Here is a 25,586-nt window from a genome sequence, read left to right as displayed (position 1 = left end):
TGTTCCAGTGGTAGCCTCCTAAATCTGCACCTTGTTGATTGTGTCACTATGGAAACTGGCAATACAGTTCAGCAATGTTTTTTGGGAGTAAGCCCTGAAGGCACAGCCAAAAGTCTGATTTTCCAGCTCTTCCTACAATGCTGTAAGTACCAAATTTACTGTATTAAATCTATTTATATTTAAAATGGTTAAAATATTATGATTCCTAAAGCTAATTGCTAAATAATTCCCTACTATTTTCTAATTCATTAATATCTGGTTTATCTTTATTCATTTATTTCCCTGTAAAGTTTTCTATTGTTATTCTTCTTGGTTCTTAGGTATAAGATTTAGTTCCCTTTCTTTCTTTCCTTCCTTCTTCCACCCTCCCTCCCTTCCTCCCCTCCTTTATTTATTTTCTTGTTAGGAGTAAAAGCATTAAACACTGCATTTTTCTCTGAGAATAGCTTTGGGGTAAACCCATATTTTGATATGTAGTACTGTTATTGCTAATGTCTAAATAGTATATAATTTTAGGTTTGATTTCCTCTTTTAAACAATAATTATTTGGCCAAATATTATTTCCAAAGGATTAAATAGCCCCTCTTCCTTTTTTATTTTTTGTTACCTTTTGTTTACCTAGTTTTGTTGCATTGCGGTCAGAGAATATGGCTTTCTGTCTTTTGGAAATTGTCATATTTTACATAACATAATCAAATTTTATAAATTTATAGATGCTCTTGGCACTGAAAATTTTATTTGTTCTTTGTAGCGGCAAATCCATTTTATTTATATTTTGTATGTTTTAAATTATTTTTTGCCTACTTGAAGTAAATTCTCTCACTTGTATTCCTACCAATTTCTTCTTATATTCAAACAGCTTTTGCTTGATATGAAGGTACATTAATTTAAATTTTTATTATGAATTGTCCCTTTGATTTTCTGTAAAATTTGTTTCTTGTGACTGGCTTGTCTGCCATCAAATCCATTTATTTCTTATACTTATTTCTCTTTATTTTTGCTTGCATTTGCCTAGTATTTTTCCATATTCTTTTTTTTTTATACTTTAAGTTTTAGGGTACATGTGCACAACGTGCAGGTTTGTTACATATGTATACATGTGCCATGTTGGTGTGCTGCACTCATTAACTCGTCATTTAATAGTAGGTATATCTCCTAATGCTATCCCTCTCCCCTCCCCCCACACCACAACAGGCCCCAGTGTGTGATGTTCCCCTTCCTGTGTCCAAGTGTTCTCATTGTTCAATTCCCACCTATGAGTGAGAACATGCGGTGTTTGGTTTTTTGTCCTTGCGATAGTTTACTGAGAATGATGGTTTCCAGCTTCATCCATGACCTTACAAAGGACATGAACTCATCATTTTTTATGGCTGCATAGTATTCCATGGTGTATACGTGCCACATTTTCTTAATCCAGTCTACCATTGTTGGACATTTGGGTTGGTTCCAAGTCTTTGCTATTGTGAATAGTGCCGCAAAAAAATATACATGTGCATGTCTCTTTATAGCATGATTTATAATCCTTTGGGTATATACCCAGTAATGGGATGGCTGGGTCAAATGGTATTTCCAGTTCTAGATCCCTGAGGAATCGCCACAATGGTTGACCTAGTTTACAGTCCCACCAACAGTGTAAAAGTGTTCCTATTTCTCCACATCCTCTCCAGCACCTGTTGTTTCCTGACTTTTTAATGATCACTATTCTAACTGGTGTGAGATGGTATCTAATTGTTGTTTTGATTTGCATTTCTCTGATGGCCAGTGATGATGGGCACTTTTTCATGTGTCTTTTGGCTGCATAAATGTCATCTTTTGAGAAGTGTCTGTTCATATCCTTTGCCCACTTTTTGATGGGGTTGTTTTTTTCTTGTAAATTTGTTTGAGTTTCATTGTAGACTCTGGATATTAGCCCTTTGTCAGATGAGTAGATTGCAAAAATTTTCTCCCATTCTGTAGGTTGCCTATTCACTCTGATGGTAGTTTCTTTTGCTCTGCAGAAGCTCTTTAGTTTAATTAGATGCCATTTGTCAATTTTGGCTTTTGTTGCCATTGCTTTTGGTGTTTTAGACATGAAGTCCTTGTCCATACCTATGTCCTGAATGGTATTGCCTAGGTTTTCTTCTAGGGTTTTTATGGTTTTAGGTCTAACATGTAAGTCTTTAATCTATCTTGAATTAATTTTTGTTTAAGGTGTAAGGAAGGGATCCAGTTTCAGCTTTCTACATATGGCTAGCCAGTTTTCCCAGCACCATTTATTAAAAGGGAATCGTTTCCCCATTTTTTGCTTTTGTCAGGTTTGTCAAAGATCAGATAGTTGTAGATATGTGGCATTATTTCTGAGGGCTCTGTTCTGTTCCATTGGTCTATATCTCTGTTTTGGTGCCAGTACCATGCTGTTTTGGTTACTATAGCCTTGTAGTATAGTTTGAAGTCAGGTAGCGTGATGCCTCCACCTTTGTTCTTTTGGCTTAGGATTGACTTGGCAATGCGGGCTCTTTTTTGGTTCCATATGAACTTTAAAGTAGTTTTTTCCAATTCTGTGAAGAAAGTCATTGGTAGCTTGATGGGGATGGCATTGAAACTATAAATTACCTTGGGTAGAATGGCCATTTTCATGATATTGATTCTTCCCGCCCATGAGCATGGAATGTTCTTCCATTTGTTTGTATCCTCTTTTATTTCATTGAGCAGTGGTTTGTAGTTCTCCTTGAAGAGGTCCTTCACATCCCTTGTAAGTTGGATTCCTAGGTATTTTATTGTCTTAGAAGCAATTGTGAATGGGAGCTCACTCATGATTTGGCTCTCTGTTTGTCTGCTATTGGTGTATAAGAATGCTTGTGATTTTTGCACAGTGATTTTGTATTGTGAGACTTTGCTGAAGTTGCTTATCAGCTTCAGGAGATTTTGGGCTGAGACAATGGGGTTATCTAGATATACAATCATGTCATCTGCAAACAGGGACAATTTGACTTCCTCTTTTCCTAACTGAATACCCTTTATTTCTTTCTCCTGCCTGATTGCCCTGGCCAGAACTTCCAACACTATGTTGAATAGGAGTGGTGAGAGAGGGCATCCCTGTCTTGTGCCAGTTTTCAAAGGGAATGCTTCCAGTTTTTGCCCATTCAGTATGATATTGGCTGTGGGTTTGTCATAGATAGCTCTTATTATTTTTAGATACGTCCCATCAATACTTAATTTATTGAGAGTTTTTAGCATGAAGCATTGTTGAATTTTGTCAAAGGCCTTTTCTGCATCTACTGAGGTAATCATGTGGTTTTTGTCATTGGTTCTGTTTATATGCTGGATTATGTTTACTGATTTGCGTATGTTGAACCAGTCTTTCATCCCAGGGACGAAGCCCACTTGATCATGGTGGATAAGCTTTTTGATGTGGTGCTGGATTCGGTTTGCCAGTATTTTATTGAGGATTTTTGCATCAATGTTCATCAGGGATATTGGTCTAAAATTCTCTTTTTTTGTTGTGTCTCTGCCCGGCTTTGGTATCAGGATGATGCTGGCCTCATAAAATGAGTTAGGGAGGATTCCCTCTTTTTCTATTGATTGGAATAGTTTCAGAAGGAATGGTACCAGCTCCTACTTGTACCTCTGGTAGAATTCGGCTGTGAATCCATCTGGTCCTGGACTTTTTTGTTTGGTAAGCTATTAATTATTGCCTCAATTTCAGATCCTGTTATTGGTCTATTCAGAGATTCAACTTCTTCCTGGTTTAGTCTTGGGAGGGTGTATGTGTCGAGGAATTTATCCATTTCTTCTAGATTTTCTAGTTTATTTGCATAGAGGTGTTTGTAGTATTCTCTGATGGTAGTTTGTATTTCTTTATAGTATTCTCTGATGGTAGTTTCTATTTCTGTGGGACAGGTGGTGATATCCCCTTTATCATTTTTTATTGCATCTATTTGATTCTTCTCTCTTTTCTTCTTAGTCTTGCTAGCGGTCTATCAATTTTGTTGATCTTTTAAAAAAAGCAGCTCCTGGATTCATTGATTGTTTGAAGGGTTTTTCGTGTCTCTAATTCCTTCAGTTCTGCTCTGATCTTAGTTATTTCTTGCCTTCTGCTAGCTTTTGAATGTGTTTGCTCTTGCTTCTCTAGTTCTTTTAATTGTGATGTTAGGGTGTCAATTTTAGATCTTTCCTGCTTTCTCTTGTGGGCATTTAGTGCTATAAATTTCCCTCTACACACTGCTTTGAATGTGTCCCAGAGACTCTGGTATGTTGTGTCTTTGTTCTCGTTGGTTTCAAAGAACATCTTTACTTCTGCCTTCATTTCATTATGTACCCAGTAGTCATTCAGGAGCAGGTTGTTCAGTTTCCATGTAGTTGAGCGGTTTTGAGTGAGTTTCTTAATCCTGAGTTCTAGTTTGATTGCTCTGTGGTCTGAGAGACAGTTTGTTATAATTTCTGTTCTTTTACATTTGCTGAGGAGTGCTTTACTTCCAACTATGTGGTCAATTTTGGAATAGGTGTGGTGTAGTGCTGAACAGAATGTATATTCTGTTGATTTGGGGTGGAGAGTTCTGTAGATGTCTATTAGGTCTGCTTGGTGCAGAGCTGAGTTCAATTCCTGGATATCCTTGTTGACTTTATGTCTCCTTGATCTGTCTAATGTTGACAGTGGGGTGTTAAAGTCTCCCATTATTTTTGTGTGGGAGTCTAAGTCTCTTTGCAGGTCTCTAAGGACTTGCTTTATGAATCCGGGTGCTCCTGTATTGGGTGCACATATATTTAGGATAGTTAGCTCTTCTCATTGAAATGATCCCTTTACCATTATGTAATGGCCTTCTTTGTCTCTTTTGATCTTTGTTGGTTTAAAGTCTGTTTTATCAGAGACTAGGATTGCAACCCCTGCCTTTTTTGTTTTCCATTTGCTTGGTAGATCTTCCTCCATCCCTTTATTTTGAGCCTATGTGTGTCTCTGCACGTGAGATGGGTTTCCTGAATACAACACACTGATGGGTCTTGACTCTTTATCCAATTTGCCAGTGTGTGTCTTTTAATTGGAGCATTTAGCCCATTTACATTTAAGGTTAATGTTGTTGTGTGTGAATTTGATCCTGTCATTATGATGTTAGCTGGCTATTTTGTTCATTAGTTGATGCAGTTTCTTCCTAGCCTCGATGGTCTTTACAATTTGGCATGTTTTTGCAGTCGCTGGTACTGGTCGTTCCTCTCCATGTTTAGTGCTTCCTTCAGGAGCTCTTTTAGGGCAGGCCTGGTGGTGACAAAAATCTCTCAGTATTTGCTTGTCTGTAAAGGATTTTATTTCTCCTTCATTTATGAAACTTAGTTTGGGTGGATATGAAATTCTGGGTTGAAAATTCCTTTCTTTAAGAATGTTGAATATTGGCCTGCACTCTCTTCTGGCTTGTAGAGTTTCTGCCAAGAGATCAGCTGTTAGGCTGATGGGCTTCCCTTTGTGGGTAACCCGACCTTTCTCTCTGGCTGCCCTTAACATTTTTCCTTCATTTCAACTTTCATGAATCTGAAAATTATGTGTCTTGGAGTTGCTCTTCTCGAGGAGTATCTTTGTGGCATTGTCTATATATCCTGAATTTGAATGTTGGCCTGCCTTGCTAGATTGGGGAAGTTCTCCTGGATAATATCCTGCAGAGTGTTTTCCAACTTAGTTCCATTCTCCCCATCACTTTCAAGTACACCAATCAGATGTAGATTTGGTCTTTTCACATAGTCCCATATTTCTTGGAGGCTTTGTTCATTTCTTTTTATTCTTTTTTCTCTAAACTCCTCTTCTCACTTCATTTCATTCATTTGATCTTCCATCACTGATACCTTTCCTTCCAGTTGATTGAGTCTGCTACTGAGGCTTGTGCATTCATCACATAGTTCTCGTGCCATGGTTTTCAGCTCCATCAGGTCCTTTAAGGACTTCTCTGCATTGGTTATTCTAGTTAGTCATTCATCTAATCTTTTATCAAGGTTTTTAACTTCTTTGCCATGGGTTCAAACTTCCTCCTTTAGCTCGGAGTAGTCTGATCATCTGAAGCCTATTTCTCTCAACTCGTCAAAGTCATTCTCCATCCAGCTTTGTTCCGTTGCTGGTGATGGAGCTGCATTCCTTTGGAGGAGGAGAGGCGCTCTGATTTTTAGAATTTTCAGTTTTTCTGCTCTGTTTTTTCCCCATCTTTGTGGTTTTATCTGCCTTTGGTCTTTGATGATGGTGATGTACAGATGGGGTTTTGGTGTGGATGTCCTTTCTGTTTGTTAGTTTTCCTTCTAACAGTCAGGACCTTCAGCTGCAGGTCTGTTGGAGTCTGCTGGAGGTCCACTCCAGACCCTGTTTGCCTGGGTATCAGCAGCAGAGACTGCAGAACAGCAGATATTGGTGAACAGCAAATGTTGCTGCCTAATCGTTCCTCTGGAAGTTTTGTCTCAGAGGATTTCCCGGCCATGTGAGGTGTCAGTCTGCCCCTACTGGGGAATGCCTCTCAGTTAGGCTACTCAGGGGTCAGGGACCCACTTGAGGAGGCAGTCTGTCCATTCTCAGATCTCCAGCTGCATTCTGGGAGAACCACTCCTCTCTTCAAATCTGTCAGACAGGGACAACCACTCCTCTCTTCAAATCTGTCAGACAGGGACATTTAAGTCTGCAGAGGTTTCTGCTGCCTTTTGTTTGGCTATGCCCTGCCCCCTGAGGTGGAGTCTACTAAGGCAGGCAGGCCTCCTTGAGCTGCGGTGGGTTCCACTCAGTTCGAGCTTCCCAGCCACTTTGTTTACCTACTCAAGCCTTGGCAATGGCCGGTGCCCCTCCCCCAGCCTTGCTGCCACCTTGCAGTTTGATCTCAGACTGCTTTGCTAGCAATGAGCGAGGCTCTGTGGGCATAGGACCCTCTGAGCCATGCATGGGATATAATCTCCTGGTGTGCCATTTGCTAAGACCATTGGAAAAGCGCAGTATTAGGGTGGGAGTGACACGATTTTCCAGGTGCCGTCTGTCACTCCTTTCCTTGGCTAGGAAAGGGAATTCCCTGACCCCTTGCACTTCCAGAGTGTGGCGATGCCTCGCCCTGCTTCGGCTCACGCTTGGTGTGCTGCACCCATTGTCTGACAATCCCCAGTGAGATGAACCCGGTACCTCAGTTGGAAATGCAGAAATCATTCGTCTTCTGCGTCGCTCCCGCTGGGAGCTGTAGACTGGAGCTGTTCCTATTCGGCCATCTTGGCTCCACCCCCTATTTTTCCATATTCTATAGACTTATTACATCATTTCATTTTATGTAGATTTATTTGTAAACAGCATATATTAACAGATAAATTTTGCATGTAGATATATTTATTCAATAATTTGTTTTATCTTTTTTCTTTTTTATAATACATTAAGTATATATATTTTGCTTTTAATTCTATTCATATAGGCATAATATCGCAAAAATATTATGGGTTTTTTTCAAGACCACCACAATAAAGCAAATATCACAATAAAATGAGACTTTGTTTGTTTTGTTTTCCAGTACATTGAAAAGTTGTGTTTACATTACTGTAGAGTACTAAGTATGAAATAGCACTATGTCTTTAAAAAAATGTACATTCCTTAAATTTAAAAATATTTTATTGCTAATAAAAAATTAAATTAAAAACTCTAATAATCATCTGAGCCTTCAGCGATCATAATCTTTTTGCCAATGGAGGGTTTAGCCTTGATGTTGATGGCTGCTGATTGATCAGGGTAGTGATTGCTGAAGGTTGGGGTGGCTAAAGCAATTTCTTAAAATTAAAAAAAATGAAGTTTATGCATCTATTGAATCTTTCTTTCACAAAAGATTTATCTGAAGCATGTGAGGTTATTTGATAGCATTTTATCCACAGTAAAACTTCTTTCAAAACTGAAGTCAATCCTCTCAACTCCTGCTGCTGCTTTCTCAGCTAAGTTTATGGACTATTCTAGACCTTCTGTTGTCATTTCAACAACATTCATGGCATCTTCACCAGAAGTACATTCTGCATCAAGATTCCAATTTCTTTGCTCATCCATAAGAAGCAATTACTTAAAGTTTTATCATGAGGCCGGGAGCAATGGCCTATAATCCCAGCACTTTGGGAAGCCAAGGTATATGGACCACTTGAGCTCAGGAGTTCAAGATCAGCCTGGACAACATGACAAAACCCTGTCTCTACAAAAAATACAAAGACTAGATGGGCATGATGGCATGTGCATGTAGTCCCAGCTACTTGTGGGGCTGAGGTGGGAGGATCACTTGAGCTGGGGAGGTTGATGAGTCTGCAGTGAGTCATGTTTGTGCCACAGCATTCCAGCCTGGATGACAAAGCAAGACCCTGTCTCAAAAAAAAAAAAAATAAGTTTTATCATTAGGTTGCAGCAGTTCAGTCACATCTTGAATTCTCTCTTGGTATTTCCACCACATCTGCAGTTATTTCCTTGACTGAAATCTTGAACCCCGCAAAGTCGCCCATGAGGGTTGGAATCAACTTCTTTCAAACTCTTGTTAATGTTGATATTTTGACCACCACCCAATGAATAATGAATGTTCTTAATGGTATCTGGAATGGTGATTTATTTCCAGAAGGTTATCAATTTACTTTGCCCAGATCCATCAGAGGAATCAGTGTCTGTAACAGCTATAGCCTTACAAACAGTATCTCTTATATAATAAGACTTGAAAGTCAAAATGACTCCTTGATCCATGGACTACAGAATGATGTGTTAGCAGGCATGAAAACAATGTTAATCCCCTGTACTTCTCCATCAGAGCTCTTGGGTGACAGGTGCATTGTCAATGAGCAATAATATTCTGAAAATCCTTTTTCCTGAGCAGTAGTTCTCAAGAGTGGGCTTAAAATATTCAGTAACCTATGTTGTAAACAGACATGCTATCATCCAGACTTTATTGTTCCATTGATAGAGCACAGGCAGAATAGATTTAGCACAGTTATAAAGGGCCCTAGAATTTTCGGAATGGTAAATGAACATTGACTTACACTTAATGTCACCAGCTACATTAGCCCATAACAAGAGAGTCAGTCTGTCCTTGGAAACTTTGAAGCTAGCCATTGACTTCTCTTCTCTAGCTGCGAAAGTCTTAGATGACAACTTCTTCCAATAGATGGCTGTTTCGTCTACACTGAAAATTTGTTGTTTATGTAGTCACCTGCATCAATGATGTCAGCTAGATCTTCTGGATAACTTGCTGTAGCTTCTACATCAGCACTTGCTGCTTCACCTGGCACTTTTATGTTATGAAGATGGCTTCTTTCCTTCAACCCCATGAACCAACCTCTGCTAGCTTCCAGCTTTCCTTCTGCAGCTTCCTCCCCTCTCTCAACCTTCATAGAATTGAAGAGAGTTAGAGCCTTGATCTGGACTAGGCATTGGCTTAAGGTTGTTGTAGCTGGTTTGATTTTCTATGCAGACTACTAAAACGGTCTGCATTATCAGCAAACTGTCTGCATTATCACTTTCTCATCATTCATGTGTCCACTGGATAACCACTGTTAGTTTTCTTCAAAAACTTTTTCTTTTCATTCACAATTGGGCTAACCTTTTGGCACAAGAAGCCTATCGTTGGGTCTATCTTGACTTTCAACATGGCTTCCTCACTAAACTTAATCATTTCTAGCTCTGGATTTAAAGTGAGAAATGTGTGACTCTTCTTTTCTCTTGAGCACTTAGAAGCCATTGTAGGGTTTCTAATTGGCCTAATCTCAATATTGTTGTGTATCAGGGTATAGAAAGGCCCAGTAAGAAAGGAATAGATGGGGGGAGCAGCCAACTGGTGGACAGTCAGAAACTACACACACATTTATTGATTAAATTCACTATCATCTCTGGACACAGTTCCTGACACCGCCAATTACAATGGTAACATTAAAGATTACTGATCACAAATCACCAAAGCAACTATAATAATAATAATAAATTTGAAATATTTTGAGAATTACCAAAATGTGACACAGGGACATGAAGTAAGAAAATGCTGTTGGGAATATGGTGCCAATAGAATTTTACACTCAGAATTGCCACAAACATTCAATTTGTAAACATCGCAATATCTGCAAAGTGAAATAAAGCTAAGTGCAATGAAATGAGGTGTGACTGTAATTAATTTAAGATTTGTATGTAAGAAAAATTAGTTTTCTGAAAGTGATCTACATTTATCATTAAACAATCTAAACAATTCCCAAAATTCAGAGGGGATTGCAAGATCTATTCCTAGCCTTTTAGCCCAAAAACAACCATCACTAAACTTTGTTTACCATAATTTCACTTCTCTATATTTAATTATGCAAATAGAATCATATAAAATGGGATTGATGACCACATACTTGGAAGTAAAGCACTCCTCAGCAAATGTAAAAGAACAGAAATTATAACAAACGGTCTATCAGACCACAGTGCAATCAAACTAGAACTCAGGATTAAGAAACTCACTCAAAACCACTCAACTACATGGAAACTGAACAACCTGCTCCTGAATGACTACTGGGTACATAATGAAATGAAGGCAGAAATAAAGATGTTCTTTGAAACCAACAAGAACAAAGACACAACATACCAGAGTCTCTGGGACACATTCAAAGCAGTGTGTAGAGGGAAATTTATAGCACTAAATGCCCACAAGAGAAGCAGGAAAGATCTAAAATTGACACCCTAACATCACAATTAAAAGAACTAGAGAAGCAAGAGCAAACAACACATTCAAAAGCTAGCAGAAGGCAAGAAATAACTAAGATCAGAGCAGAACTGAAGGAGATAGAGACACAAAAAACCCTTCAAACAATCAATGAATCCAGGAGCTGGCTTTTTGAAAAGATCGACAAAATTGATAGACTGCTAGCAAGACTAAGAAGAAGAAAAGAGAGAAGAATCAAATAGACACAATAAAAAATGATAAAGAGGATATCACCACCAATCCCACAGAAATACAAGCTACCATCAGAGAATACTATAAACACCTCTACGCAAATAAACTAGAAAATCTAGAAGAAATGGATAAATTCCTCGACACATACACCCTCCCAAGACTAAACCAGGAAGAAGTTGAATCTCTGAACAGATCAATAACAGACTCTGAAAGTGAGGCAATAATTAATAGCCTACCAACCAAAAAAACTCCAGGACAAGACAGATTCACAGCCAAATTCTACCAGAGGTACAAGGAGGAGCTGGTACCATTCCTTCTGAAACTATTCCAATCAATAGAAAAAGAGGGAATCCTCCAAACTCATTTATGAGGCCAGCATCATCCTGATAGCAAAGCCTGACAGTGACACAACAAAAAAAGAGAATGTTAGACCAATATCCCTAACGAACATTGATACAAAAATCCTCAATAAAATACTGGCAAATCGAATCCAGCACCACATCAAAAAGCTTATCCACCATGATCAAGTGGGCTTCGTCCCTGGGATGAAAGACTGGTTCAACATACGCAAATCAGTAAACATAATCCAGCATATAAACAGAACCAATGACAAAAACCACATGATTACCTCAGTAGATGCAGAAAAGGCCTTTGACAAAATTCAACAATGCTTCATGCTAAAAACTCTCAATAAATTAAGTATTGATGGGACGTATCTAAAAATAATAAGAGCTATCTATGACAAACCCACAGCCAATATCATACTGAATGGGCAAAAACTGGAAGCATTCCCTTTGAAAACTGGCACAAGACAGGGATGCCCTCTCTCACCACTCCTATTCAACACAGTGTTGGAAGTTCTGGCCAGGGCAATCAGGCAGGAGAAAGAAATAAAGGGTATTCAGTTAGGAAAAGAGGAAGTCAAATTGTCCCTGTTTGCAGATGACATGATTGTATATTTAGAAAATCCCATCGTCTCAGCCCAAAATCTCCTGAAGCTGATAAGCAACTTCAGCAAAGTCTCACGATACAAAATCACTGTGCAAAAATCACAAGCATTCTTATACACCAATAGCAGACAAACAGAGAGCCAAATCATGAGTGAGCTCCCATTCACAATTGCTTCTAAGACAATAAAATACCTAGGAATCCAACTTACAAGGGATGTGAACGACCTCTTCAAGGAGAACTACAAATCACTGCTCAATGAAATAAAAAAGGACACAAACAAATGGAAGAACATTCCATGCTCATGGATAGGAAGAATCAATATCGTGAAAATGGCCATACTGCCCAAGGTAATTTATAGATTCAATGCCATCCCCATCAAGCTACCAATGACTTTCTTCACAGAATTGGAAAAAACTACTTTAAAGTTCATATGGAACCAAAAAAGAGCCTGCAATGCCAAGTCAATCCTAAGCCAAAAGAATAAAGGTGGAGGTACCACGCTACCTTACTTCAAACTATACTACAAGGCTATAGTAACCAAAACAGCATAGTACTGGTACCAAAACAGAGATATAGACCAATGGAATAGAACAGAGCCCTCAGAAATAATACCACACATCTACAACCATCTGATCTTTGAGAAACCTGACAAAAACAAGAAATGGGGAAAGGATTCCCTATTTAATAAATGGTGCTGGGAAAACTGGCTAGCCATATGTAGAAAGCTGAAACTGGATCCCTTCCTTACACCTTATACTAAAACTAATTCAAGATGGATTAAAGACTTAAACGTTAGACCTAAAACCATAAAAACCCTAGAAGAAAACTTAGGCAATTCCATTCAGGACATAGGCATGGACAAGGACTTCATGTCTAAAACACCAAAAGCAATGGCAACAAAAGACAAAATTGACAAATGGGATCTAATTAAGCTAAAGAGCTTCTGCATAGCAAAAGAAACTACCATCAGAGTGAACAGGCAACCTACAGAATGGGAGAAAATTTTTGCAATCTGCTTATCTGACAAAGGCTAATATCCAGAATCTACAAAGAACTCAAACAAATTTACAAGAAAAAAACAAACAACCCCATCAAAAAGTGGGCAAAGGATATGAACAGACACTTCTCAAAAGAAGACATTTATGCAGCCAAAAGACATATGGAAAAAAATGCTCATCATCACTGGCCATCAGAGAAATGCAAATGAAAACCACAATGAGATACCATCTCACACCAGTTAGAATGGTGATCATTAAAAAGTCAGGAAACAACAGGTGCTGGAGAGGATGTGGAGAAATAGGAACACTTTTACACCGTTGGTGGGACTGCAAACTAGTTCAACCACTGTGGAAGACAGTGTGGCGATTCCCCAAGGATCTAGAACTAGAAATACCATTTGACCCAGCCATCTCATTACAAGGATTATAAATCATGCTGCTATAAAGACACATGCACACATATGTTTATTGCGGCACTATTCACAATAGCAAAGACTTGGAGCCAACCCAAATGTCCATCAGTGATAGACTGGATTAAGAAAATGTGGCACATATATACCATGGAATACTGTGTAGCCATAAAAAAGGGTGAGTTCATGTCCTTCGCAGGGACATGGATGAAGCTGGAAACCATCATTCTCAGCAAACTATCGCAAGGACAAACAACCAAACACCGCATGTTCTCACTCATAGGTGGGAATTCAACAATGAGAACACTTGGACACAGGAAGGGGAACATCACACACTGGGGCCTGTCATGGGTGGGGGGAGGGGAGAGGGATAGCATTAGGGGATATACCTAATGTAAATGACGAGTTAATGGGTGCAGCACACTAACATGGCGCATGTATACATATGTAAGAAACCTGCATGTTGTGCACATGTACCCTAGAACTTAAAGTACAATAAAAAAAAATGGGATTGAAGGATTTTTATTTTATTTTTATTCTTTTTATTATGTTCACTTTTTTTTTTTTAATGGAGTCTCGCTCTGTCACCCAGGCTGGAGTGCGATGGTGTGATCTCGGCTCACCGCAACCTCCATCTCCTGGGTTCAAGCAATTCTCCTGCCTCAGCCTCCCAAGTAGCTGGGATTACAGGCATGCACCACCACACCCAGCTAATTTAATTATGTTTACTTAAAATCTAATTTAATGAAAGAAGAAATTGAAGTAAATCTGAAAGAATTGGTGTACTTGAAGTAAATTTTTCTTTACCACAAAAAATAAGTTTCTGAAACTTTCCTCTATAGATAAGATAAACATTAAGAGGTTAGAGTTGTGACTTTTTTAGACTGCATGTGTAAATTATGCTATACCCACAGCCTTTTGACTGTGGAAGACTGGGAGAGTTGTATATTAACAGTTTCTTCTACTAACCTCTTGTTTTGGCTATGGGAAACTGGGAGGTTTGTGCACTTATAGTTTCTTCCACCAATCTCTCCCAGATTTGTATTACTTATTAAGTTCATAATGTCAAGATTAATAACATTTACATTTTATTTTACAATCAAAATTCTTGACATGTTTTAGTTGTGGTTTTATACTTAAAGGGATTGTATTCATTATCATTCTTTTTCCACAGTTTCTTTATTCTTGTATTTTGTTTCTACACATCTCTTATTTAATTGAATTCCATTGACACGCTTTTTTTAAAGTAGCACTTACACGCAATGTATCCCCTCAATTTCTCTACCCTTGAGAATATGTGTTTTGGTTTTTATAGTTGAAGGATAACTTGTCTACAGATAAATTTTAAAGTCACATTTTATTTCCCTCAGAATGTTGTAGACACTCTTTCTGTTCTCTAGCATTAAACTATTACTATGGAAAACTCCAAGGAAAACCTGATTCTTTTTTAATGGAATGCTACTTGCTTTTCTACATAAAATTTTCATAAAACTCTGTTTTTATTCCTAAAATTCCAAATTGCACCAGGATATGTTTTGGGGAACATGATTCTGAATCACTTTTTCTCTTAGACGGAGTTTGCTCTTTAAATCTGCAAATCTGGTCTTCAATTCCAGAATGTATTTTGTCCTTTTTTTTTTTTTTTTTTTTACTATTTATTTTTGTTTGCTTTATTTTCTTTCTTAATTTCTACCTCTTCCTCAAATCTATTTTATTTCATTACGCCTATATGAAAGGCATGCATATCTTTTTCCCCATATTAAACATGATTTTTATATCACTCTTTTTTATTGTGTATTGTGTGATTTCTTTAGATTGTGTATTCAATCATGTGTTCTTCTATTAATTCTCCTACCATTTTTCAGCTCTTCCATTAATTTTCTGAGCTCTTTTATCTCCACATTTTCCTCTTCGGATGCCTTACATTTTTATTGAACTCTTCATTCTCTTGTTAGAGGTCTTCTTCTAGAAAGGACATTGTACTAGTTCTCTATCGTTCCATAACAATATCATCACTAACGTAGTGGTTTAGGACTATACACATTTGTTATCTCACAATTTCTGTGGATCTGGAGTTTGAGCATCACTTAGCTTGGTCTTCTGCTTTGAAGGTCTCACAAGGCTGCAATCAAGGTGATAGTTGGGGTTGCAGTCTCATCTGAGGCTCAACTGAAGGATCTGCTTGCAAACTCAACATCGTTGCAGAATTCAGTTCCTGGCAGACTACTACACCGAGGGCTCAATTTCTTGCTGGTTATTGGCCAGAGGCCACACTCAGCTCCTTGTCCGGTGGCTCTCTTCCTATGACATCTGGGAATATGGTAGCCTGCTTCTTCAAAGCCAGCCAGGGTCTCCTAACACGATAGGCTACAATCTTACGTGATGTAATCACATGCACAAAATCATCATCATCTCCTATTTGCACTGTATTCTATTGGTTAGAAAGAAATCATAGGTCTTACAGTCAAGGAGAGGATGCAAGGGTCTGAGCACCAGGAGGCAAGGGTTATGGGGGGTGATCTTAGAGTCTGCCCACCACAGTGACGTTGTATGTAATTTCTTGAAGACTGTGTTAGTTTCCTAGGGCTGCCATAACAAAGTGGCTGACTTAAAACAACAGAAATTTATTGATTTACAATTCTCAGGGCTAGAATTCTGAAATTAAGGTGTTGTCATGGCTATGCTCCCCATGAAAGCTGTAGGGAAGAAAACTTCCTTGCCTTTTCCTAAGCTTCTGGCAGCTCTTAGAAATCCTTGGTGTTCTGTGGTTTGTAGCTGCATCACCCCAATCTTTGCCTCCACTGTGACATGGCCTTTTTTCCTATGTATGTCTCCATAGGTCCTCTCCTCTTCTCATAGGATGCCAGTCACTGGATTTAGGGCCCACCTTAATACAGTAGGATCACACCTTCCTAATTGCATTTTCAAAGAATTATTTCCAATAAAGATTACATTCTAAGGTTCTGGGTAAACATAATTAGAAAGAGACACTGTTCAACACACTACAGAGATTACAAGGAAGTATTTATTTTAACTCTTGGAATATTTAGTAAGTAATTTACCTTACATTGTATGCTCTTCTTCTGCAGTTTATTTGTGTTTTTTCCTTTTAAAATATATTCTCACTTTCTGTCTTGATTCTTTTTTTTTTTTGTAGTAATAGAAATTACAGATTCACTCATCCTTTTCCCTTGCCTATCTCTAACACAGAAACTGTAACAGCTAACTAGTTATTTTCCTTGCCTTCTTATCACCAGTATTTGCCCAGAGACATGGTGCTTGTCAATGAGTTATTGACAAAAAAAATCTGCATAGGAGTGAAGAGTGACACGAGATTTCTGGTTCTTCTCTTCCTTTCCTTACTCCACTTTACTTCTAGCAATCTCCTTGGCTCAGAGAATAGGCTGAAGGCTGTAACACTGACATGCCAGCCTGGTTTCTTCTTTAGTTCCACCTCTCCTTTAAAGTAGACATTCCACTTCTGAGGCTCCCCCAGGTTCAGATTTTGCTACTCTAGTCACAGTCTTTCAGGATTGTTTCTCTTCCTTTGAGAGAAATCTTTGTTCTGCTCAAGATTAGAGAAGGCATGCTTTGGTTCTTGGCAATCAGCCTCTTTCCTCATTTTACTTTATTGCTGCTTCCTTTTTTGTAACTTAGGATTGTATCATTTCCTTGTTTCATTGAAGATGAAGTTGGTTGTTTGGTTGGTTGTTTTTCCTACATTATTATTTTTTATTTTTTCATTATTGGTAAGTTTCAAGGGGGAGGATCAAATTTTTTAAAATATTTTTATCTTGCCATCTTTAAAAGCCTCTATAAACTATCTTTAAGAATTTTAACATCATTATTTAACCTCTACTTCTATAATAGTCAGAATTGAAAGTAAAATATTATATTTTGAATTCTCCCTATTTAATATAATGAATTTTTGAATTTTGTAAATTTCACATCAGTATCCCAAGTAACTGGGACTACAGGCATACACCACCATACAAAGCTAATTTTTTTTTTATAGATAGATATGGGGTTTCACCATGTTGCCTCACCATGTTGTCTCAAACTCTTAGGCTCAAGCAATCTACCTGCCTCTGCCTCCCAAAATGCTGGGATTACAGGAGCAAGCCACCATGCCTGGCCAAATTTAGTTAACTTTTTTCCCTTTCCAACTTTTTAGTCTTTGCTAATATAACATGGAATCTAGATCCAAAGTGTTACTATATTAATATTATATGTATTTCCTTATTCGATTTTTATATGATGGTTGTATTTAGTTTACAAGCAAATTTACAGCCATTTTTCAGCTCTCTTTTTCTTTTTTTTTCTGTGTTATATGTATTTATTCCTTTTTTCTTTCTTTCCTGTGTATTATTTCTTTTTTTTTTAACCAAGTTTCAGTGCTTGCAGTTTGTCATTTCAAACCCTTAATTTTCACTATCTCTTAATTTTGCTTCATATTTCACTTTTTGGAGAAATATTTAAGGCATTTAAAAAATTATATAAAGGTTGTCTCATAGCCTTTGCATATTTGAGACCGTCTTTCTGTTGACCTTTACCTATCATGACTATATATAGATGAAAATACAATTCTGTGGTTAAAACTTTTCCAGCCTCAGATCAGTCAGTATAGGCTTTTGGATGTATTGACAAATGATCCCCAAATTTCAGTCATTACAACTTCAAAGCTTTATTTTCAGTCATGCTACTATTTCCCTGCAGGTAGGCTGCAGCTCTGTACCACATCACCTTCATACAAGCACCCAAGCTGAGCATCTAGAATACTGCTGGCTGTCTGGCATAGGGCAAAAAAAGCATGGCAGATGATATCCTGGCTCTTAAGTATCTGCTGGGAAGTAATGCAGTCATTTACACTAGTATTTAGTAAGTTGCAAAGTCAAGCTATGTCAATAGGCATGGAAGTACAACTATCTTTTACAAGTGGGCAGCAAATATTAGTAAACAATAATGCAATTTATTATACCTGCATGTGTTCCAGACATTGCTCTTTATGCTGGTATATCCATTCATAAGAAAGAAGGTTAAATGAAGACTATTATATCTGAGATGGAGGAAATAGGAATAAGAATCAGTTTAGGGAAGATGATAATTGTAATTTTAGAGAGTTGAATATAAAGTATCCAGTAGGCAACTGGATATGAGACTGAAAGTGTTGGGAAAGGTCTGGGTTGGAGATATTAATTTATGTAATCAGTGTAAAGAACTGAATTCATTAGAATTACTGAAAGGAGTGATAGAATGAAGGTGTCACCTTAGAGCACTATCTGTAAGGGGCAGGTAGAGAATTTGAGAGGAACCAGGAAGAAGGGACTAGAGAGTATCAGGGAAAAGAGGATCATAATTGCCAAAATAAGGACAGAGAACTTCTAGTATAAGATGGAAGATATTACTTTATGTTGAATTAGGAGAACACTGATGACTTTGGTAAGAGCAGTTTCAACAGAGTAGTAAAGTTGAAAGCCAGTAACAGGTAACTGAAGAATGAGTATTAGAGATTTAAGTGGAGAAATGAAGTATAAATTGAGCACTCTTTAAAAACTTCAGAGAAAAAAAAATGGAGATTGGGAGATTTTCCCCGCATCTGAACAATGAAGAGACTTGGAAGTATTTAAAGGACCAAGAATCGTGTTTGTGTGTGTGCATGTATGTGTCTGTGTGTACTTACATATTCATTCTTATTTTGTAAATCGGCAGAGGGATATACAAGATAAAATCACTTGGAATTTTTTTTTTTTTTGAGACGGAGTCTCACTCTGTCACCCAGGCTGGAGTTCAGTGATGCAATTTCCACTCACTGCAACCTCCACCTCCCGGGTTCAAGCGATTCTCCTGCCTCAGCCTCCTGAGTAGCTGGGATTACAGGCACCCACCACCACGCCCAGGTAATTTTTGTATTTTTAGTAGAGACAGGGTTTCATGATGTTTGTCAGGCTAGTCTCGAACTCCTGACCTCGTGATCCGCCCGCCTCGGCCTCCCAAAGTGTTGGGATTACAGGTGTGAGCCACCACACCCGGCATAACTTGGAATTTAAAACCAAAATTAATCAACATAGCTATCTTTAAATTGTGTAAAATCCATGCAATTATAGTTAGTATTTAATGTCATGGTATGTGCATTAGTCTGGGTTCTCCAGAGAAATAGAATATTAGATAGATGATAGATAGATAGATAGATAGAGAATAGATAGATCGATAGATGATTGATAATACATAGATAGATGATAGATAGATATATAGATAATACATAGATACATAGATTTATCATAATGAATTGGCTTAGGTGGTTATGGAGGCTTAGAAATCCCAAGATCTGCAGTTGGCAAGCAGGAGACCCAGGGCAGTTGATGATATAGTTCCAGTCTGAGTCCAAGTATGAAAGCAGGATAAGACTGATGTTCCAAGTCAAAGACAGTCAGGCAGAGAGTAAATTCTCCCTTACTCCACGTTTTTAGCTCCATTTGGGCCTTGGACAGATTGGATGAGGTCCACTTACATTGGGGAAGGCAATCTGCTTTACTTGGTCTGCTGAGTCAGATGTCAATCTCATCCAGAAACATCCTCAAAGACACACCCAGAATGATGTTTAACCAAATATTTGGATATTTCATGGCCCAGGTAAGCTGACACATAAAATTAACCATCATAGTATGTCGTTAAATTAAACTTGGATTTATTTTTTTTAAAATGAGGCTGGGAGTGGTGGCCTATGCCTGTAATCTCAGCACTTTGGGAGGTCCAGGCAGGAGGATCGCTTGAGCCCAGGAGTTACAGACTAGTCTGGACAACATGGCGAAATCTTGTCTCTACTTAAAAAAAAATTTTTTAAGGAAAATGAGTGATATTATATACATAATATAATTGATTTTATAGAGTCTCACTATGAATTCAGAATGATTTAATTTCGTGATAAGCCAAGTAAATATAACTCTATTTGTTTGTGACTGGTTTTATCTAGAAACACAAGCTATTGAGGAAAATTTTTAAATAAAGTAACTGTAGGTTTTGTGCTTGGTTATTTTGTTTGTTATTGTGTCCCTCTACCCCATCCCATTATCTGGAAGTTTCAAAAGCACAACAGCAAAAAAGGAACTTGATTTTTAAAGATTATATAATGGTGGCAGAAATGTCAAGAGATAAGGAAGAGCAAAAGAGGAAACACAAAATATTGCAGTGATAGAGAAGATCTCAAAAAAAACTAGGTCAATGTTTGACTTCATTCACAGTTGCTCCTCAAATATGACATTGCCTTGAGGATAGAGTGCCCTCAAATTAGCACACATTCTGATTAGGAGAGCAGGGTCCAGTAGCCAGTGTTAAAGGAAACAAACATGTTTTCTAGTCTTGTCATAACACATGAAATAAACAGGAAAAAAATATAAATTAAATGTGTTTGGAATCATCAATAATCCAGCATATTTTATTCATTCCTTAAATGTGTGTACTTTGTTAAGTTATGATAGGTGTCAATTGCTTGATTCAAAACTTCTCTACCATGATGTGGAATAATTTTATAATGTAAAATGGTAGTACCAAAACTGGACCAATAAAGAGCCAAAACACAGTCATTGTCCTCACTGAATTTATAGGCATAAACCACATAACATAAAAAACTATAAAACTGCATCTGTGATTAGTGCTATGAAGGAAAATTGAGTGGTTCTATGAAAAATTTAATGGTGGGATTTGTGACTTAGTTCAGTGAAGACATCGTTAAAGTAGATGAAGAATAGAGGCAGGTAATCGATTGTGCAAAGGCCATGTGGCGAAGGGAGCATGTCAAGGAGAAGGGACTGAACATGCCAGGGTAATAGCAGTAGAGGAAGTGCATTAAATTATGGATCATGTCGACATTCGAGAGGTGGATGGTTGGCCAACTATGCCAGGTCCTAAGAACCACTGAAAATCTGTAAATGGAAACAATGGATTGGAAGAGATTCAAGTGACTGTGGGTAGACTAGATAAAAGGTTATCTCAGTTGAAAATATGAGACTAGGGTAGTGCCAGAGAAAATGGGAAGAGGTGTTCATGTTTGAGAGTTATTTGGAAGTAAAATTGGCAATCATTGGTAATGGATTTGATGCAGGGAACGGGAGAAATTGAAGTGTTATAAACCTTTTGAGGTTTCTGAGTAAAGCAATACAACAAAAACTCCACTCAGATGGAAAGCTCAAAATACAGTTCTTGAATAAGCCCAAGGATTATTTATAGTAATTGAGGACAGGAGCAAATACTTATTAGACTGTAATTTATATGTGTTGATAATAATTTGTGTGCCCCACTGGAGCAGCAGGAGGTACTCCTGTACCATCTTGTTATAGTTCTTAAGACATTATCATTCCTGGTTGATATCTTTCTCTAGACTGTGAGCTCCATAAAGGTGGACAGTAGGTTTTTATTATATCTCTTGCAGGCAATCTAGTTTCTGGCACAGCAATCACTCAAATATTTGCAGAGTGAAGTAATTAGGTCATGACTTAAACTTTACATTATTTTATTTTCCAAATTATTTTTACTGTAGTTATACAATTTAAATGTCCTTTTTTTTTAGACAGAGTCTCACTCCGTGGCCCAGGCTGGAGTGCAATGATGCAGTCTCGGCTTGGCTCGCTGCAACCTCCGCCTCCCAGGTTCATGTGATTCTCCTGCCTCAGCCTCAGCTGGAATTACAGGTGCCCGTCACCACACCCAGCTAATTTTTGTATTTTTAGTAGAGACGGGTTTTCACCATGTTGGCCAGGCTCGTCTCAAACTCCTGACCTCAAGTGATCTGTGTGCCTTGGCCTCTGAAAGTGCTGGAATTACAGGTGTGAGCCACTGCACCCAGCCTTAAGTAAGTTTTAATGTAAAATTTTTCTATATTCAAAATTTCCAAATAATAACTTTATTTCCTCATTTACATTTAAGCCCTATTATTGCTGCATTACTAATTATGGTCAGAATTACCTGTTTGAATAATGATAACAACCACCACCACATGCTAGTTGTGATGATTAATTTTAGGTATTGACCTGACTGAATTAATGAATATATAGCGAAGTGATAAAGCATAATTTTGGGGTGTGTCTGTAAGGGTGTTTCTAGAGGCAATTGGAGCGTGAGTCTCAGTGGACTAAGTGGGGAAGATTCACCCTCAATGTGGGTGGGCATCATCCAATCAGCTGGAGGCCCAGATAGAACAAAACAGAGGAAAAGTGAATTGGTCTCTCTGTCCTGAAGTCGGGATACACTCTTCTGCCCCTGGACATGAGAATGCCAGGCTCTCCAGCCTTTGGATACCAGGACTCACACCAGCTCCCCTCTGGGTTCTCAGGCCTACATACTTGGAATGAGCCACGCTACTGGCACCCCAGGGTCTCTAGCTTGCAGATGGCCTGTTGTGGGACTTCTCAGCCTTCATAATTGCATAAGCCAATTCTAATAAATCCCCTCTCCTGTATCTGTATCTATATTTTATTGGTTTGGTCTCTCTGGAGAACCCTAACTAATACAGTAGCATAGGATATAGTCCTAGGTGTCCATCTAGGAGACTGAGTAATTTTGTATCACCCAGCATAGTGCTTTTTAGCATACTTTAAAGAATTATGGAATAAATTAACAGACCTCTCGCTGGTTACAGATGGTAAAAGACCAACTAATTTTTCATTCTAGTCAGCAGATGGCAGTGTTTTACTTTATTTAGCTAACTGAGGTTTGTTTCCTGAGTCTTGCAACACTCACTTTTAACTTAATCCATGAAATAACACAGTATTTTTGAGTTAACTTTATACTTTTTGAACCATAAATAAATGTTATAGGAGTTGTTTTAGGTTTTTAAAAATCGCACATTTTTTAGTCAACTTGAGCTTTCTTAAGCTATCTTTAAATTTGCTTTTTACATTAATTGCAAACAATTGCTCTCATTTTTGTAAACAGGAAAACCCTGTTTATTTACTTTATTCCTTAGCTTTATTTCTAAGAAAGGTCAACGCTGAACATTAATTCTGGAAATTAAGTTTAAATTATATTTAACTGAAGATGGCACAGTTAAAAGTTTCTTTGGTTGAGTTTCTCTCCTCTAAGATGAGCCCTGTCAACTCTGAAGTTATGGGACTTGAGACTGAGTCAGGAGACCTGGATTTCATTCAAATTGCTACAAAGTTTGCACTAGATGATCTATAGTGAGCCATTTGAATAATTTTTCACCAGAATTTTTAATGAGTGAAATATGCTCAATGTGTATACTACTATACAGTCGACCCTTGAACAACGCCAGGGTTAGGAGTGCTGTTGCCCTCCCTGGCTGCTGTGCAGTTGAAAATCTGTGTGTAATATTTGAATCCCCAAAAACTTAACTACTAATAGTCTACTGTTGACCAGAAGCCTTACTGATAACATAAAGCTGATTCACATATATTTTGTATATGTATTACTTATCTTTACAATAAAGGCAGAGAAAAGAAAATGCTATTAAGAAAATCATGAAGAAGAGAAAATATATTTATTATTCATTAAGTGGAGAAGGATCATCATAAAGGTTTTCATCCTCATCATCTTCAGGTTGAATAAGCTGAGAAGGGGAGGAAGAGAAAGAGTTGTTCTTGATGTCTCAGGGGGGTGGCCAAGGTGGCAGAAAATCTACATAGAAGTGGATTTGCATATTTCAAACCTGTGTTGTTCAAGGGTGAAGTGTATTTATCTTGTAAAAACATTGTAAATATACTGGTTTTAAAAGTCTGAACTCTCCATAGAGAAACATAAAGGAACTGAAAATGAAGAGGACCTTTAACTTTAAGTAGAAATAGAATTTATTAATAACAAAAGTCTTCAATCCCCCATCTCTATTATAATGCTGATAATTATGATGAACAAGGGCAAAACGTGATACTATTCTGTTTCCTCCTGTGAGCCTGTTACTCTTTAAAGTTTAAAGAAGCTTTATTACATATTACTTACTTAAGTATAAAGAGAAACAATACATCGAGCTACACACATGCCTCTTCCCAAAACAAAACAAACTCTCCAATACCTCTTTTGAATGTATTTATAAGAAAAACAACAGAAAAAATCTCTAATTAGAACTTTCTAAAAGCATTTCTCCCCAATTAGAGTGCAGTAATGACTATAAATGGCACTGTCTCAGGGACAGCTCATCAGTTAATTATAAGTAGTTCTATAAATTGAGGAGTGAAGAATGATACTAAATTTCAATCAGTGCAGATAAATATGGCTTGTCATTATTCAATTGATATTTTTGACAGTCCACCTAAAGAGGAAGATGCAGAACAGAAATATTGTCTTTTCTAAAGAATGGAGATTATGAGAACATTTACCTTAGACTATATTCTTGTCTGGAATATGGTTTTCATAGACACTCAATTCCCATGATCCCCAGAGACTTTCATTGGCTTGCCCAGTTTCTTTCCATCTGGTCCTTTCAAACCAGGAAAAACAATATGGTAATTCTATTGTTGCGTCTAGTAGCCTGGAAAAATGGAAATGTATATTTAATATAATATGTAATATAGTGGCTCAGTAATTTTTAAATATGTCAATTAACACTTCCATTCTTTTTGATTTTTGTGTCCCAGCATCATTTAGCACTCTATGTTCTGGAATAAATATCTCAAAATTCTATAAATTACATATGCTCATCTCTGGGATAATGCTACCTGACCAAGTTTAAATTATTTCCTGTATAGTCTTAAAAGCAAACATGTTAACAAAAAGTTAACATAAAGAAAATAATTGTTTAAATAGCAAACTGTTAATATGTATTATTTAACAATTTTCCAAAATTGCTGTTTTCTATTATTTTTTCTTCCTCTTACTTTTAGATATTTTTCATGAACCTTTTATCTCCATTTTCCTTCCTTTAAAATTATGTTTCACTCATTCATGTTCATAGAATTTTCAATCATGTTAAAAGCAAATATGGGTTGTTTGCTTATTGTCACAGATAGCCTCTTGGTTATCATTCTCCACAGTCACCTTATTCATGAATTGTAAGTTGGAGATCAGCCTCCCAGTGCAGAACTGTTTAGAAATAGCCCTTCATGCTTGCTCCTCTATTCCCAGAGGAGTTTGCTGCACATGCCTAGATCTCTTTCCATCTGGCCTCTGCACAAAGGGTTTATCCCACTTTAACACAATTCTTTGTTTTATAGAGGACCTTGACTTTATCTGAGAGTGAATACATATGAAACAATAATCATGTTGCAGGAAAACCTGATTTGATCATTTTTTTTTCGTACTTGATTCCTAAGATGACAGTGAAACTACAGTTAGCCAGCAACAAAGACTAAAGGCTGTAATGATGACAGAGCTGTAAAAAAGTAAATGTGAAGGGTCTGATTTTTCCATTATTACAGTACTTACGT

At 37.5% G+C, this 25,586-nt stretch overlaps 1 long non-coding RNA gene across 12 annotated transcripts in view; it reads right to left on the bottom strand.

Moving 5' to 3' along the window:
- Window positions 1-25,586, bottom strand: part of WDFY3-AS2 (WDFY3 antisense RNA 2) — a 43,128-nt gene that overhangs the window by 14,328 nt on the left and 3,214 nt on the right. For 11 of the 12 annotated variants that reach the window (NR_152772.1, NR_152774.1, NR_152773.1 and 8 more), the window contains exon 2: window positions 24,540-24,691. The exons of the other annotated variant lie outside the window; for it this stretch is intronic. This is a non-coding gene — a long non-coding RNA (WDFY3 antisense RNA 2). The remainder of the gene's footprint in view (window positions 1-24,539; window positions 24,692-25,586) is intronic. 12 annotated transcript variants of the gene reach the window in all.

The sequence above is a fragment of the Homo sapiens genome, chromosome 4 (assembly GCF_000001405.40).
Source record: "Homo sapiens chromosome 4, GRCh38.p14 Primary Assembly".
Classification (NCBI taxonomy): domain Eukaryota; kingdom Metazoa; phylum Chordata; class Mammalia; order Primates; family Hominidae; genus Homo; species Homo sapiens.
This window is presented reverse-complemented; position numbering and strand designations above follow the sequence as displayed.